This window comes from Homo sapiens, chromosome 2, assembly GCF_000001405.40.
Source record: "Homo sapiens chromosome 2, GRCh38.p14 Primary Assembly".
Classification (NCBI taxonomy): Eukaryota; Metazoa; Chordata; class Mammalia; order Primates; family Hominidae; genus Homo; species Homo sapiens.
In genome coordinates, this window is record NC_000002.12 from 163705303 (window position 1) to 163721809 (window position 16507).

The 16507-nt window shown below is 35.1% G+C and overlaps 1 protein-coding gene and 1 long non-coding RNA gene across 4 annotated transcripts in view, besides 1 other annotated feature; both read right to left on the bottom strand.

Annotated features, from left to right (window-relative positions):
* Window positions 1-16507, bottom strand: part of FIGN (fidgetin, microtubule severing factor) — a 133398-nt gene that overhangs the window by 102692 nt on the left and 14199 nt on the right. The window lies entirely within an intron of this gene.
* LOC107985957 (uncharacterized) overlaps window positions 1-16507 on the bottom strand; it is a 65994-nt gene that overhangs the window by 37355 nt on the left and 12132 nt on the right. Inside the window, exon 1 of the long non-coding RNA XR_001739759.2 lies at window positions 1-16507. This exon is cut by the window's right edge and continues 12132 nt beyond it. This is a non-coding gene — a long non-coding RNA (uncharacterized LOC107985957).
* Window positions 12195-13646: an enhancer, noted in NCBI's record as "VISTA enhancer hs640". NCBI's record gives its function as "enhancer in: hindbrain (rhombencephalon)[5/6]" and the evidence as "EXISTENCE:transgenic organism evidence [ECO:0001131][PMID:17130149]".

Sequence of the window (16507 nt, forward strand, 5' to 3'; positions counted from 1 at the left end):
CAGAAAAGCTGAGTAGCACAATCAGTTTCCATGTTCTTAAAAATTTTCAGATGGAACTTCATAGTTCCATAGTTTCTCATAGTGTTTTGGAGCTGAAAGAGAATTTAGAAATCTTTGGATGGAAGTCATCCATTTTAAGATGAAAAACACTGAGACCCAGAGAGGTTGTGTTTTTACCTGCTTAATTTCAAGACAATGGCAGAACTAAATTCTTAAAATTTTAGTTACAGGTCACTTTATATAAAAAATACATAAGTTGACAACATGTGAGACTTCCAAAAAACATCTAAAGAAAAGAGTACTATGTAAACTCTATTTTATATTGTTTATTTTTTGTCTTTTTTTTTTTGACAATCCTAATAGATGTGATGCAAGATTACTCCCCACAACTCTCAAGCAGCTCTCACAATCTTTTATTATAATGGTTTTACTTTTCTTTCCTTTAATTTTTGAATGATTTTCTATTAACATAGTGACAAGATAGGCACACTGTATACATGTTTGTTTTTTAACATAACTGGTTTAATATAAAAACCAGTTAAGGAATGCCAACTACTACAGAAAAACTAAAAACAACGTCCATTTTAATCACTTACAAATGACTGCATTTTTAAGCTGCTGGAAATTTAATATATGTCCATTTCTCTTCATCTGGAAAACTTACATGTTGCAAGAAAACCTTGCTGAAACCTTATTTTGGTCTTTGTGGAACATAATCTCAACATCTCAGACAGCCTGAAGCATCCTGAACTACATTTTCAGCTTCCTCTGGGGCTCTGTGAAGCTCTATTCGTATTGCATATTACATATAGGTTACTTTTAATGCTCTTCTAAAGCTTGTTAAATGCTACGCAAATTTACACTTTATGGCTCTAATGTTTAACTTATCTATCAGTAAATTTGAACCACAAATCATCTAGTTTTCCATGTTGTTTATTTCCAACTATTATTATTTCTAAATGGGTTCTATTTTAGAGAACTATATTTTAATTAACAGCAGTTACAAATTATTTACCTGAAAAGAAATACCTTGAACCTTTGCCCAAGACATCCAAAAAGGTAAAACCAAGTATGTAAAGATGGCGGCTTAATAGTTTTACTTAAACTGTGACACTATTAATAAGCACACACAATCCACTCAAATATTGTATATTAAATGTGACTTCTTCTTACTGGGAATTTTAATAATATTAATATATCATAAAATAAACCTAATCATGATGATTCAAACAGGTGCCTGTAAATGTCTGTATTTATTTCAGATTTAGACTGAGCTAATTTTTCTTTTTGTAAAATGAAACTAAAGTATACTGATTAAAATACACAATTCATATCTTTGCATATCATCCAAACAAATCACATGTAGACTGCATATGCTTTTGGTTTGATATAATTCTGTCCTGAGCTGCATGCACCCTAAAACCCAATCTTTGAGGAACAGCAACACTGAAATATTAGTTGTGCATCACACAGGAAATCTTGTTGGCTGAAATTCTGACAAAATTTTATTTTCAAACACAAGGTTTTATTAAGTTTTTCTTTTCTAGAGCAATAATCTCATTTAAAACAAACAAAAAAAATTATGCCAGTATGACCAAAGGTATAAACAAACGATGAAAACTTTCATATTCCTGAATGTCACGGCCATTGCAGCATCAGTTACATCTGGAAGGAGAAAAACTTAACATTTCTTTTCTGTCTTCATTGCCTAACATCAATAAAATTGTACAAGAGTTATATAATTATTCTTAATTTCTATTGAGGAATAAAATTTCAATCCTCTTTTATTTCAAAACATTCAGGAAGAAAACAACCAAGCTTACCATGTTTATCTGTCAAAACAACACTCCTCTGGCCAACATGGTGAAACCCCGTCTCTACCAAAAATACAAAAAAATTAGCTGGGTATGGTGGCATGTGCCTGTAATCCCAGCTACTCGGGAGGCTGAGGCATGAGAATCGTTTGAATCCAGGAGGTGGAGGTTGCACCTTGCAGTGGGTCAAGATCGCGCCACTGCACTCCACCCTAGCGACAGAATGAGACTCTGTCTCAAAAAAAAAAACAAAAAAAGAAAAAACACTCCTCAATAGTATGATCCTCATTTTATTCTCTAGTGGGTAAACTCTGCCTGATATCAGGTTATTTCAAAGAGTGTAGTGACAAAACAGAAACAAAGAAGATTAAAAATGCAGAAGAGATGGAATTTGGAATTTAAGTGTTTTTAGTAAAGTAAAATAATCTTTGTGAAATTATACAACCAAAACTAAGTCCATATCAAGCAACATTTGAAAAATATCAACAGTATTTAATCATTATTGTAAATCTCATTAAAATGAGATTTCCAAGAATGCAGGCCTTTTATTTTACCCTAATTTTCAAACAACTTGGCAGTGATCTATTTATGGAAATGGCTTTGTTAAGGAGATAAAAAAGTGAAACTATCTGTGAAAAGAGGTGAAGAGTGGGCATTTTTTCTTTTCCTGTAAATCTTATAATAAATAAAAATATCTGTAGTTAGGAAAAATACATATTTAACAGAGATACTACTGGTCTTGATATAACCAGAAATTTCTAAATACTTCCAAATATACTATTTCAGTCATTTGTTTCAAATAAAAATTTATATTTAAGATTGTTTACATAACTATTTTTAAGCCACATTGTGATATCAAATCCTATTTGTCTTTATGTTACAATAGCACAAATTTCTCAACATTTTAAAAGAAGTTTCTGTGAAGAGATAATTTCATCATTGGGAATTCTCAAAAAAAATTAATTTGATGTCATCAGGATAACTGAATCTTGGCCACCTCACATATTGTTATTTTGATAGAATAGTTAGAAAATTAAAGGGGGAAAACACCAAAGAAAACATACTTGTTATATAGACACCTGCACACTACGCTGTGTTTATTGTTCCTACTATCAATAAGAATGATGTCTGTGATAGCTGACCCTAACCAGTGCCTTAATTAACTAGTATTAAATGTAATTAAGACTGTTCCAATTAAATTTTAATTTTTAAAAATTAAGTACAAACTCAGTCATTCAATAAAATGTTGTAGTCCTTTGGTGTGTTTCTAGGCGCAGAATATAGCAATTTACTATTGACAAGCACTAACGGAGGAGGTCATTTCACAAGTATAATGTGGACAAAGGTGAACCGGGCAACTGATGAAATCTGTGGCCAAGGCGAAATAGCAATCTCTAAGCCAAATGGTAATAAAGTTACTGAAATGAAGCAATGTAGTTTCTAAACTGAACTGTCATAAAAGAGGATATGGGCTTCCAACTGGCATGTCAGTAGTAATTAAAATATTGTTTCTGTCTTTTAAAAAGTTTCAAATGCTTATAATAGTCTTATCGATTTTTATTCAAACAGCTAAAAGTGAGGTTAGGAGAATCCTGCTAGATGGGGGCAGGAGTGGACGGTGCTGAGGTTTGGAGGGAGGAAAGGCAAAATCTGTAAGGGGAGAAAAAGAAAAACAAGGTAGACACAGGAGTCTAGAATTGCTTCCACAAACAAAATACTATACTACCCCAAGTAAGGAAGTTAAAGGAATTCAGAAGTTACATATGATATTAATGCTTAAGAAGTAATGGTTGCATATAGACTATTGTTCATTGTTCACAACGATATAGAAAGTTTCTGTGAGATAAGATGACAAAAGTAAAGTTCTCAAAATAGATTCTTCCTGAAGAGTCTAAGGTACCGTAAATACGGCAATGGGTGTCCTTATGCATACCAGAGTGTAAGTCTTCATACATTCTGATGCCATAATGAGGACTCAGATGGCTTCCTTAGAAAGCCAAGTTTCCACGTGCATCACATAACTTTGACCTTGGCAAACACAGAGAAGGAATACATCACCTTGCAGTAAGGAGTTGTGCAGCCCAAATTCAAACCCAGACACTCCTTGGGCAATCCAGACACTCTTTTTGAGGTGGAAGCCTTTCTAAAAAGTAATATTTAGCTATAGAACAGCCTCCATGCCAGTTTTTTATGTAATCCACTTTACAACTAGCTAATTACATGGGATCATCTTTCACTTAATTGAAACTACATGCACATTATTAAGTAAATAAATGATTTGTCTAAGCTGAAATATAAAGTACAAAAGAGTTCATCTGGAGAGATCACAAATGAAATCATCAGCGACCTACAGCCCAGGCCAGATAATCAAGCAGACCTTAGTTTCAGTATGCTGGAGAAAGACCAAAGGTTTGGAAATATCTAGACTTTTTTTCTTCTCCTTTGAAAGGTAATCCTACCTTATAAACTACAGCATTCCCCATCCCACTCAAGAAGCGATTTACTATGTGTTCAAGGATCTATCTGAACAGGACTTTGCAGACCTCAGATTCCATTACCCGAGAAGCCCCTTCTTCCCAGTATCTGCCCAGCCCCTATAACAAGGTAAAATAAACATAAAACACATACTTCGGGAATGAAAGTTGGGTTTTCTTTTCATATTTATGAGAAAAAAATAGAATGGTGTTTTAAAATGGGCAGGTCAATCAATTTATTTTTACTCTCACTCTTGAAAGCTCTAGGATAAAAAGGAATACACTAGCCAGATGTAAACTGTTATTTATTTTCTCATTGCCTTACAAATGTTAACATATCCTATCATATGACAACCCATAAGGAAAATAATAATACAAATATTAATTGAATAAGAAATGTTCAATTAAAACTAATAAACAATTGACTGAGGTTGTTTCTGTACTGTGAAGCAAATGGCAAATATTTATAAAATCTCTCCTGAAGTTTTGTGCCTTCTACACAAATGTTAAAAATTCTGTGTCAAAGTAGTGCTATCAATTAGTGTTCTAGTACTGGTCATTAGTGTTCCAGCAAATAAAATACCCTCGATGCAGAAAGGAATTGTGTCAATGAGCTACTTCCTTTATTTAGGGATAAGGGTAGTCATCCATTCACTCTCTAAAACTGAGAAATTTCAGCCTGGAGGTCTATGATCCTTAGAAAAAAATACAAAGTAAGATTTAGCAAGGATACAAGCTACACTTTCGTGGAAATTATGAAGATTAGGCAACTGCTAGTCTATCCTTGGTTCATTTTGCTTTTTATTTTGGTTAGGCTAAATGCCCTTCCTCCACAGCAAATAAATCTTTAAGAAGCTGAAAATCACAGGCAATTAATGCATTGGCCAACAAGAGAGTCTTCTCAAATTATAGTTTTGGATGGGCCAAATGGCAGGTGGAAATGTGTTTGCAAAAAGCAAAGTAAAGCAAAATGCAGGCAGACTTGCACTGCTGGAAGACAGAATTGAGTTCAGTTCTGTGCAAGACTTTGTGCTGCCTGACTATGACATAATAGTGCTAGCTAAATGAAAGGTTTTTATTTAGTGCCAATTTTAACAAAACCCACTCTTTAACTTATGACACAATAGGGATTTGGAGGCCTTCCTCATCACCTTAGAAGGAGTTAAACTAGAAACCAGCATGAGATGAAGGTACTACTTTATCTAGTAGAGTTCCTACCCTCACTCCAGGTAATAACTTACTTGTTGGTAAAATAAAGACCTATGGCATTAGCTAAAGAGACACAATTACAAGATTACACAGAGTCAGTGTTCACCTGTACACAATGGCTTGTCTGACTGCAAAGAACCATTCATTTAAAATCTTTTCAATTAATATAAACTTTTTATTACTTCACTAAAACTAAAATCTACATGCACACATGCACTCACACACACATAGACACACAACATAAGAAAAAAAGCATTCATTTTTAACCACAGAGCTGCAATAAAATCAAATCTCCTTTTTACTCCAAAGGCATTCCCTGTATTAGAAGACGCTTGCAGCTTCTCAAAGCAAGTCCAGTTACCATAACAAATGTACATTTTACCAGCCTTGGAATTCTAATTGTGTTTAATACAGTTTCATGTTGCATCAAAGTACAAAATCAATACCATTTGTCCAGCATACAGGAAAAATGGAATCTATAAATGGCTCTTATTGAGTAATTAAACACCTATTATTGTCATGGGTAGTGAAACAATGAATATGATAAGATAAATTTTTGCAAGAAAATACTGCAGTGATTAATACCTCCCTACGTATTAAATAAAAATGACTGCCTTTTGTGCAGTACTGCTGGCAGAAGAACAGGGACGCGAGAAGTAGTTGCCAGTGCCACAATAACAGGCTAACCTTGAACTGAACTCCTTTCCTCAAGAAATTAAATGCTGTAGCAGGACTTTAAATCCCCCCACTTAGAGCTCATTTGTGCGCCATGTAACCTGCAGTTCCTGAAGAGAACTCATTATCTTCAAAAGGAGAATCACTTTATAATTTCTTTATGAATGTGTATATTGTTTCTACAAAAAAAAAAAAAAAACTATTTCAGTGTCCAAAAAGGATAAGAATATTAACAGTGTAAGCAAGGCAAAGAGACTTGTACCAATCAGATACTATTTCTACTTCCAGGAATTCAAGTGCAGAATGCAATCTGTTACGGAAAACTGAACGTTAGATTAAGAATGAGGTTAGAGGAAATGCATATTTAGAAAAAGATATTAATCTGTTAGACTGATGCTAACGCTCCTGGTTATTCTGTTGCTAGAGTCTTGTATCTTTCTGGATATCTCCCCCTGCCCCTCCCTCGCTCTCTGGAATAAGCATGAAAGCTGTCATTCCACAGCCCCCACCCTCTGAACACACACGTACACACACTCCCCACCTACCACCCTCCACATGGTTCCTCCATTGCTTTGCCTTTTTTTAAACATAAGAATGATGCACCAGGAACAACTACAAAGTACAAAAGATGAATCTATGGATGTGACACTTGTAAAGGGTAACCCTATTTCACAAGTGAGATGGGACAAAAAAGAAAGAAAAAAGGCCACTGAAGCAATAACTGCTCACTGAATTACCATTAAATTGTAAGATTTACAATCCAATGTACAGTAAGTGCATATCTAATGGAGTTTGTCCTCTAAAAGAATATAAAGTGAATCTTTGCAGCATGAGATGTGTGTAGGTGATGTATGTTTCTTTTAATCTATTTTTTAATTAGAAACAAAAAAGTTAAAAAACAAAAAAAGGACACACTGTAGAAACACCAGCAAAACCCTGAGGCAAACTTAAAAGCTTACTTAATTTGAAATGCACTTTATATCAATTACTCTCATTTTCTATCAAACTGAATTCATTCTTCCAAGTACAAAATGTAAGACATATAATCAAATACATATAGAAAGATAACAAGTGCTATTTTAAAGGCAACATTAATACACGAACACCTAAACTTTTTGAATTGTTTGTTAAAATAAAAACCGCTGAGTTCAAATGCTTGGTTATATGTTGTGAGGTTTTTTTTAAGGCAAAATAAAACAGTAATATTTTTCCATTTAATAAAGGCAAATAAATTTTCATGTTGCCAACATGGAAAGAATTCAAATACAATGTTAATGTAATCAAACATCAATCACATTATAGCAATTTTTATTTTTATTAACACAAACAACCTCCAAAAGAAATGGACTATTATGCAGCAGAATTATTTAAAATACTCTAATTGATTATTTAATAACCATTAAAAGCAAAAGCTATTATAGTAATCATTTCTTGTAGTGCTTTCTAAAGTAAACGTTGGTGAAATAGTGCCCATTTTCACCTCATGACAGACAAACACCTAATAAACGTATCTGGTCAGAGATTCAGTCACATGAATAATATTTTAGCAAAAACTCTGAGGATGAGGAAAAGTAGCTTAAGTAATATTTATTAGAAGATTTGTTTATTTTGTTTATGTAAATAGGCATCTTATTTAAGTGATATTACAGAAGTCATTGTCCTTAAATTCAGTAAAATATAAAACTGTTACACCAATTTTGCAAATCTCTGTTTTGTTCTTCTCACCTCTCTCCCACAGGATCTGAATTTTATTTTAAGGGATTAACAAGTAGCACATATGATCAGCAATGATAGCCTTGTTCTTTTAAACCTTAGTGAATCAAGTTCGGTAAAGGTGAAGTAGTGGAATTATCAGTACAAGTGGCTATGTCATCAGAGTCTTCAGAAAGGTGCTGTAAAGAAATGCCTAAATAAACAGCAGTATAAAGGATTTTATATATGAGACATACACACACAGATGTCTCTTTCACACACCACACACACACACACACACACAGAGCCTGCCTCTGGTTATTAAAAATATAAAACAGAGGCACTACTGTATATAAACCAAAAGACATTTACTACTGCATGTAAACCAAAAGGCATTTGTAATCCCCCTTCACATCAGTTTTAACTTTGATTCTAGTTTAAATGATGTACCATTTTCTTCTCCTCCTTGCCAAGATATTTGAAAGATTATCCCAAAAATCAATTGGTTAAAGCCCCTCTCTGTGCTACAGTGAGCCGGAGAATTTCCAGCATCTGATGAGGACCAGTGGACCACCTGATACTTTTTCAGCAGGGTGATAAAATTAAAGGATGGTTTTGATTTGCTTGAAGGATTACTTCCCTTCCTTAATTGTTTAAAGTGCACAGTATTAACACAAAGAGGGGGGAAAAAAGAAAATTAAGAAGGTGACTGTAGAGCCTGAGCTAATTGCAAGCTGATTAGATTGTGCCATGCAAGAGCTCTCCCTCCGTTACATACCATCACAAGCTCTGGTCTTTTCCACCCTGCTGCTGCAGCAAACAAGCTGATTTGCTAACAAAGTGGTCAGCTCGGGCACTTGCACAGCGGCTCACGGGGTCCACAGACGGCTGCTCTCCATGCAGAGAATCTCAAGCTCCATTTTCCAATCTGATTACACGGCTCCTTGTTCCAGGAGCCTTAAACCTTCATGGCAGTTTACCAACATTTTCATCACTTTTTTCTTTTACAAAGCAAAAGAACTGATAAGCTCTCAGGTACCCAGGATTTCATAGTCAATGGCTGGCCAGCAGCCAGCATTCCCTCACCACATAACTGTTTTGGGCCACACTGCATAAAGCAGACAGGATTTACCAGACTGCACAGAACTATTAGAATTTTGCCATGTGTACAAGTAAGCAGCATGTTTCTGTCCTTACAGATGTTGACTATTGTGTCTAATCACATCTAGGAAGCACAGAAACCTAGTAAGTGTCCTGCGTCACCTCCCCCCAAAAAAGAGGCAATGCAAAGCAAACCAATGAGCATATGTCCATGAATTCCACTATTACCCTAACTAACCTGTTCAGGAATTCTGCCTCGTAAATGCAAAGTACTAATTACTGTTTTTAAAACTCCTGGTCTGATTACCTAGACCAATTACCTGGATTACCAAGAAACTGATCCTAGCTACTTTCCATTAAAATCTAAAATATTGTGAGCCACTAAAAATAACTGATTAGCATCTTCCAACTTTGGCAATCCTCTAGAACTTACAAAAAGCAAACCAAAAGATGTAGAAGTGAAGCTCAAAATTTATCTCACCTAAAGCAGCTTCTTGAAAATTAATCTTATACCCATTAATTCCCAGAAATCATGTCAGGCAGTTAGCATGAGTTTCAACCTAATACATTCACATTCAAAAGTTTAAAACAATGACCACTATAGCATTCCAAATTAAACATTTATGCATACACTCTTTCTCCTATGTAATATTTTTCAAATTCATTTTTATTTATAGCCGATGGGCCTAAAATGTGAATTTAACACTCACATAATGCGAATGTCCATTCATTGTGTGCTTCCTTTCAACCAAACAACAATAAACAAACAAAAAATAACACACCCTCCTTCATCCATGACCAGTAACTTTCTAATAAAGATAAAGAAAAGGAAAATAGCTTATACTGTCTGTGGCTATGCCTGGTTCATTTGTGCATCATGTTGATCTACCATAAAGGATTTGGGGAGGGGAGAGGAGAAGGAGAGGAGTCTGCAGTTATGGGAAAAATGTACAACTCGGCTCACACAATGCCTCAGTACTCGAGCTCACCAGTGCGCTGACCCTCTGTATCTTGGAGTCATTAGCTAGAGTCCCAGCCCTGCCTCCAGGAGGGGGGATTTGAACTCACACACCAATGTGGGGAGATTCGGGATTTTGAGCATGCCAGCCAGAAGGGTCATTCCTCCTTGCTGATGAGGAGGACGCCTGTCCCCTGGGGAAGGAAAAACTAGATGAGTGACTGTCGCAAGATTCAGGCAATGGACATGCTGCTGACTCAGGAATGGACTCTGACAGCCACCCTGCTTCACTCCAGCCGCTCTGAGTGGGAGCGGTTTCAGGGCAGCAGCATTGACAGGTACATGCAAAAGTTAGGGGAGAATGAATGGAAGACAGAGGAAAGAGGGAATGAATGAGCAAATGAAACAGCAACTCCTTTTCCAGACATACACATACAAGAAATAAACATTTTCCTTTTATACAAGTTGATACTGCCCAACAAATAAAAGATATGGTTGTGGATATGCATTAGAACACCCACAGCATTTCTGAAAGGACTTTAAAAGAGGACACTCATTTTAAAAACTGATAGGCTAAGGCTGGGTATGAATCTATATCCACAACACTGCAAAAACCTATAAACTCAAAGAAAGTATACACATACGCCCATATATGTATTTGCATGTGGGTGGTATTCTGCATAAATGACTGTCAACTTAAAATGCCATTCTCTAATTTATATGCAAATTCTACCTCTGGTAAAATAAAAACATATTTTAAGCAGCTTATAGTGCCAACACATTATTCCCATGAATGATTCCTAGTAAACTATTTATGCCAACTGTGGGGCTTTTTTATGATTTATTGGATGGTGAACGAAACCACTTAAACTATAGTTGTCTGTATGAATCAGTAATTTTCATGTTTCTAATTAAAATGTAAACAGCGTAATGAAGACATCAAGTTTTTAGGCAAATGTCTCTTCCAGTGCCACTTGGGGTATGGTAATTACTGGAGCAGATCTATGGATGCTTCTGAATCTTCCACAAGTCCAGATTAAAAGCATTACTGCTAAACCTGGCTTTTTACACAAGGGAATTGTGTACTTTAACCCATTCCCAGTTTGCTTACATATGCACATTGGCACTACCTTTAAAAACTGGTCGTTAAAAAAAATCAAAATGGAAAATAACAAAGGATGTAATTTATATTTAAAATGTTGATTATAAAACATTTACTAGCAATCAAAACACTGGAAATAGATCCACTCCAGTTGGATTCCCTACCATTAGCTTTTAGGAAAAAAAGAAAAGAAAAACAGCAACCAAATTATGTCTACCTTAAATTTATAGAGCCAGCATCTGGGTTGAAGGGTGAGTGGATAAACTGGTTCCAGATTCAAAGATAATGTTCATTTCTAAGATTTCTTTTGTTTGAATAACAGTTTAAAGTAAAATAAGTGTATAATTTAAACATAGTAAAATATATAAAAAGTAATCATATATAATCCATGGAATAAAATCTTGTCATTTTCCCCTATCATATTCAAAAATTAAAAGTGCCTTTGATATAAAACTATAATCTGTTTTCATTTTTATTTCAGCATTTATTTCTCTCTGGAATTCGTCAAAATTTATCCTAAAGCAAGTGACCTCTTACACATGCTGAAGAAATACAGCACCTCTTCTGCTTACAACTGTTAATTGAACTTCCCTCTGAAGCCTGTTTTTCCAAGTTATCCAGTACATTGCTTTACATATTTACTACCCAGCACTTGAATATATTTTTTATTACAATTTTGCACCACTTGCCTTCTCCAAACACCCCTTAGAACTATGTAATAATGTAGCTACCCTTGGAGTGAGTAGTTAACAGCTGAAGTCTGCAGTGATATGAAAAGTCTAAAATGCATGATAAAAAGAGGATTCTCCTACCCTTATTTCTACCTCCGCCCCTGGACTCAAAGTCCAAAGACTGACTGATATGGCCAATTTTCATATTATTTTTACAAGAATGCTAGGCATGTTGCTAAGGTTAACTACGGAATTGAGAATGGTTAAGAAATGTGAATGTGTGTGGGGGTGAGTGGGGCAGAGAAAGAGAGCAATTTTTGCACTGTTATGTTTTATTACCAAAGTAATGCAAACAAATAAATGTATATCCACCATCCTAGGGTCAGGGGAAGCATTTAACCTAAAAGCGTTTTCTACTACTCTTCCACTTGAAAACATATAAGCTTTTTCTTTTTCTGATGTGGGCATAGAGTCATAGTATTTTGGGGTGATGGAGGGGTGGGACATTTGAGAGAGGTGTATTTTGGTAATTTTTTTAAAAAAATTTAACACCTCTGAGGGCTTTCAGAGGGAAAAAAAGCTGATTAAACAAGACCAAGTGTTTTTTGTCGGCTTAAGGGTGATATCATAGTTGTGTTCAATATCAGAAGTGTTGCAAGTACAGGCATCATTTCTATTCGCTTTGTGCCAGAAAGGTAAACACTGGATTGCATTGTGGATTAAAACAATAAGAAATCCCTTTCCTCTCAGGCTTTCAAGGCCGTGTTAATCGGGTGTAATTTTTAATGAACACTGGCTGCTTGGTACTTATTCAAGACATTTCATTAGAAGGTTATTCATTTAAAAATCAACGTTTCAACCATATCAAGCTGTAACCTTTCTTGAAATGTAAATGAATGGTTTAAATGAGAAGATTAATAAAAAAGGGATGTTCCAATTCCAAGCATGGCATGCTATGTATTTTTAAATTTGTCTATGCCAGATGCTGTCAGTCAGAACAAAAAACTGTCCAAGCAGACAATCTGTGCATCTGAATGTTGATCATGTTGGAAAGTACAGGGGGGAGGGGGGAGAGTGTGTCAAGGATTCATGGTCCTTCATCTTTGCAGTAGAGCAAACACGTCTCTCAGTATAGCGACAGACAGCTGCTTCCACTTTCTAATGTGCCCTAACTTAGATCACTGAAAGAATTGTCAGCACTCAGAGAAACACACAAAGATAACACAGCCAGCTGCCATGGAGGGGAAAAACAGCACAGCTCAGAAGAAATGGGATTTGTTCCATTTGCATGATGCTGCCTCCCCTGGGCCCCTTTCTTTCAAATCCAAAGCACAAAAGACAACACTTAACATATTTGCTTAAAGATGACAACCTCATGTTGATTTCATTTGGATGTAACAGTGTCAGGATTACAGATATAAGAATATATTATATCTGTAACAGAGACTGACAAATGTACCCATCAGTGGAACTGTCTGATTCATCTGCTTATACAGCCATTTTACCATCCCAAGGGTGCCATCTAAGTAGTAACTTTAGAAGACTGAAGGTCTAATTTTATTACACCACATTTCAACCTACTAAACAATATTATTTCTAAAATAGATCATTTTTATTGGAAGTCTCCCTGATGAAAAATCCAGTAGACACCAGAGAATTTATGAACTGTATGGGTCCTTTGAACTCAATATACTGCCCATTTTAAACAACTTTTCTTGCTGTATGGCAAAATCCCCATATCAAATAAGTGAAAGTTAGAAAGCAAGAGAGAGATTGTATGTTTCGAGTGCCTAAGTATATTGATATAATAAACAGATTATATATATATAAGACAGAGAGAGTGAGAGAGAGAGAGAGAGAGAGACATATTACAGATTATATGGATAACTATAAAATCAGGCCTTACCTGGTCCATTTGAATAAATTCTTTGTAACAGCTTACTTCTGTCTATTTCATTATAGGTCTACCCTCAATACAACATCCATACTTCAACAGCAGCTATATGAATAATCATTGCCTGTCAATATCTTTTGTACATATACTCAATCTAATTTCCTGTTAAGGTGTTTTTTAGGCAGAAGATACGACAAGAGAATAATCTAAAGATGCATTGGCTAGCCACTAGTCATTGTAATATGTACAATGAAGAAAACCACGATTCCGATCTGAAGCCTACATACTTTTACAAATCTTTATTCTGTCTGACTTTATGGATTTTAAGTTTATTTCTTAAGTGAATAAAAAGATTTAGGATGATGTGATTGAATTGATTTATTTACATCTACATTACTTTGATTTACGTGACTGGAATTATGGCGGTAAGAAGGGAGACACAAGGAGAAGGCAGAGAGGAAGCAATCACTTTCTTCACATAAGCAATACATACACAGACATAGGCACACAGACACAAACACACAAGTAAATGTCTGGGCACACTCAGCCCCACAGCCCAACCAACTGACTTCCCATAACAAAATGTTGGCTCCCTGTGTGCCTGCGTTGTCCAAAGGAACGCTCTAGTGCTTGTTGCTATTTACTGGCAACAGTATAATGCACTCATTTGGTCTTGTTTTCTAAAATAGAGTTAACTGCTATATGTAAAATTTCTGCACAGCAGATGGTTACCAATCATTATTTTCCATTTGTTTAGTTTCTAGTAAGAAGAAGAAAACCTGTGGGGTAGTGATGCAAAGAAAAACTAGCAGCCTGCATGATAACCCAACCAGTGCCAGAATATGCATTTTTTAAAGAAAAACGAAGAATCACTTTGATCACGTAGCATATCAAGACTAAAATTTTGAGGGATGGGGGAAGTTATTCATCCCAGTCTCATCCATAAAGCAAAATGCCATTTGAACAATTTATTTTTTAGTATAAAATCCTCTAAAATTTAGCCTCTATATGTTTTTAAGTGATCAAAGTTTCTAGAAGCAACTTATTATCACCATTAATGTTTGTCATCACCCAAGCTGAAATCATTTTTTTTAAACCTCTAAGTAGCCCAGTTGTCCAACAGAAAATGGGAAATAGGAGCCATTTGTGGACAAATGCACATGCACAGAAAATTAAGCTGTAAATATCTGGACCGGGTTATTACTGGAATCTGGAAACATCTGGGGCTACAGAATAAGCCAAGCCCCGTTTCCACAATGTCCAGGTAATTGCTTAAATGATTTATACCTTACTGTTTCTATTAAAAATGTCTTTAAAGAGAAACATTTGTAGGCTTGGTTCTGCAATAAAAATTGGTATCTGATTTCACTTGTACAAAATCTTGTGAAAGATGCTACATTTCTTCAAGGACATATGCATGACTAAACTAAACCCTGGACAAAGACAAGGCTAAAAGAAGGCATGGCCGACCACTGAATGAAAACAATTGTATCATGATAGCAAATTTTAAATGGTTTATTTGTGATTAGTTTCTATTCTAATCAAAAGAGTCCATTAGAAAACATTCTTTTCATGCATTTGGGACAAATATATTCAAGCCATTTTAGGGTAAACTTGTACCTCATCCATTTTCAATTTTAGTTTTAATTAATTTCTCATAAATCTTATTTACTGACACTTCAACTGAATATCAAACCAAACTTAACCCCTAAGGGACAAATAAGTGCCACCTCCAAGACAGACTTGCACCACTTAGTTAAGAATCTGGAAAGGTATTTAAATAGGTTCACTTAGATGGTGTCTGTATGGAGCTACTAACTGGTCCATTCAGAATGAAAGAGCTTTCAACACTGTCATTTGTTGCAAAGACAGGTTGCTCTACTAAATAAACACACACACACACACGTGTGCACGCATGCATGTACCTATGTAGTTGTATTGGCCTGAAATAATTTTATCTTTTAATTCAGATCATAGGCCAAAAGGACAAATATAGTTTCATATTTTTCAAGAATTGCTGTGTCTAGATCTAGCCAAAAATTCTATTACTGACAGCTGTCAACTATGCATATAGGGTCAAAATAAATAAATAAGTAAATAAAAAGAAAGGGAAGGAAGGAGGAAGCAGTAAAAGAAGGCAGACAACAAAATAAACCATTAACCACTGACTTTTAACCATGGTTCATACTTTGTGGCCACCAACTTACATGATTACCCTTTTGAGAAGGATCACCCAATTTTCTTCTACCAGAAGGGTAAAGGAAAATGGGTGCATTTTACATGTAAATAATTCTCATGAATATTTTTATTAATTTAAAACCCCACAGCTTCCTGATTATAAACCAAGTAGAATTTTAAGCCTCTTTTAAATATTCCCTGGATTTAAGTTGGTTGTTGGCAAGCTACCACTATAAGGTTTTACAATTTGTGGCCTTTACTCTCAATCTGATGGCTTTTAATCTATATTTTAACAATTTTAACTCACTTGAAGCACATTGAATGGTTTCTAGAAAACCAGAAGTGTCTATTTAACAAAGGAACTAAACACACGGGTCTTCACTGTTGAAGTCACACTGCAAAAATGCTTTTGCTACTTTTAACATATTGTTTCACAATCTTTATTATTCTACCTTCAATGTACTGTCCTTTACTATTAGAGCTCTTTGCTGAAGATGCAGTGTTTTTATACAATTAACTAAGCAACATTTGTCCATTATAGCTCACTAAATGGCACATCTTTGTAATGATTCAGGTTCAACAATCAGCACTACAGATACTTTCTTCTGCGTAGAGTGTATGACATCAACCTAGATTTCAATATGAAGTGGTAAGATAGCATCTAGAACTTTTCAGCTCTCAAGAGCCCAAATTGGAAGAAAACGAGTGAGCTTTCAGTAAAGGTTATAGGTTTTCTTAG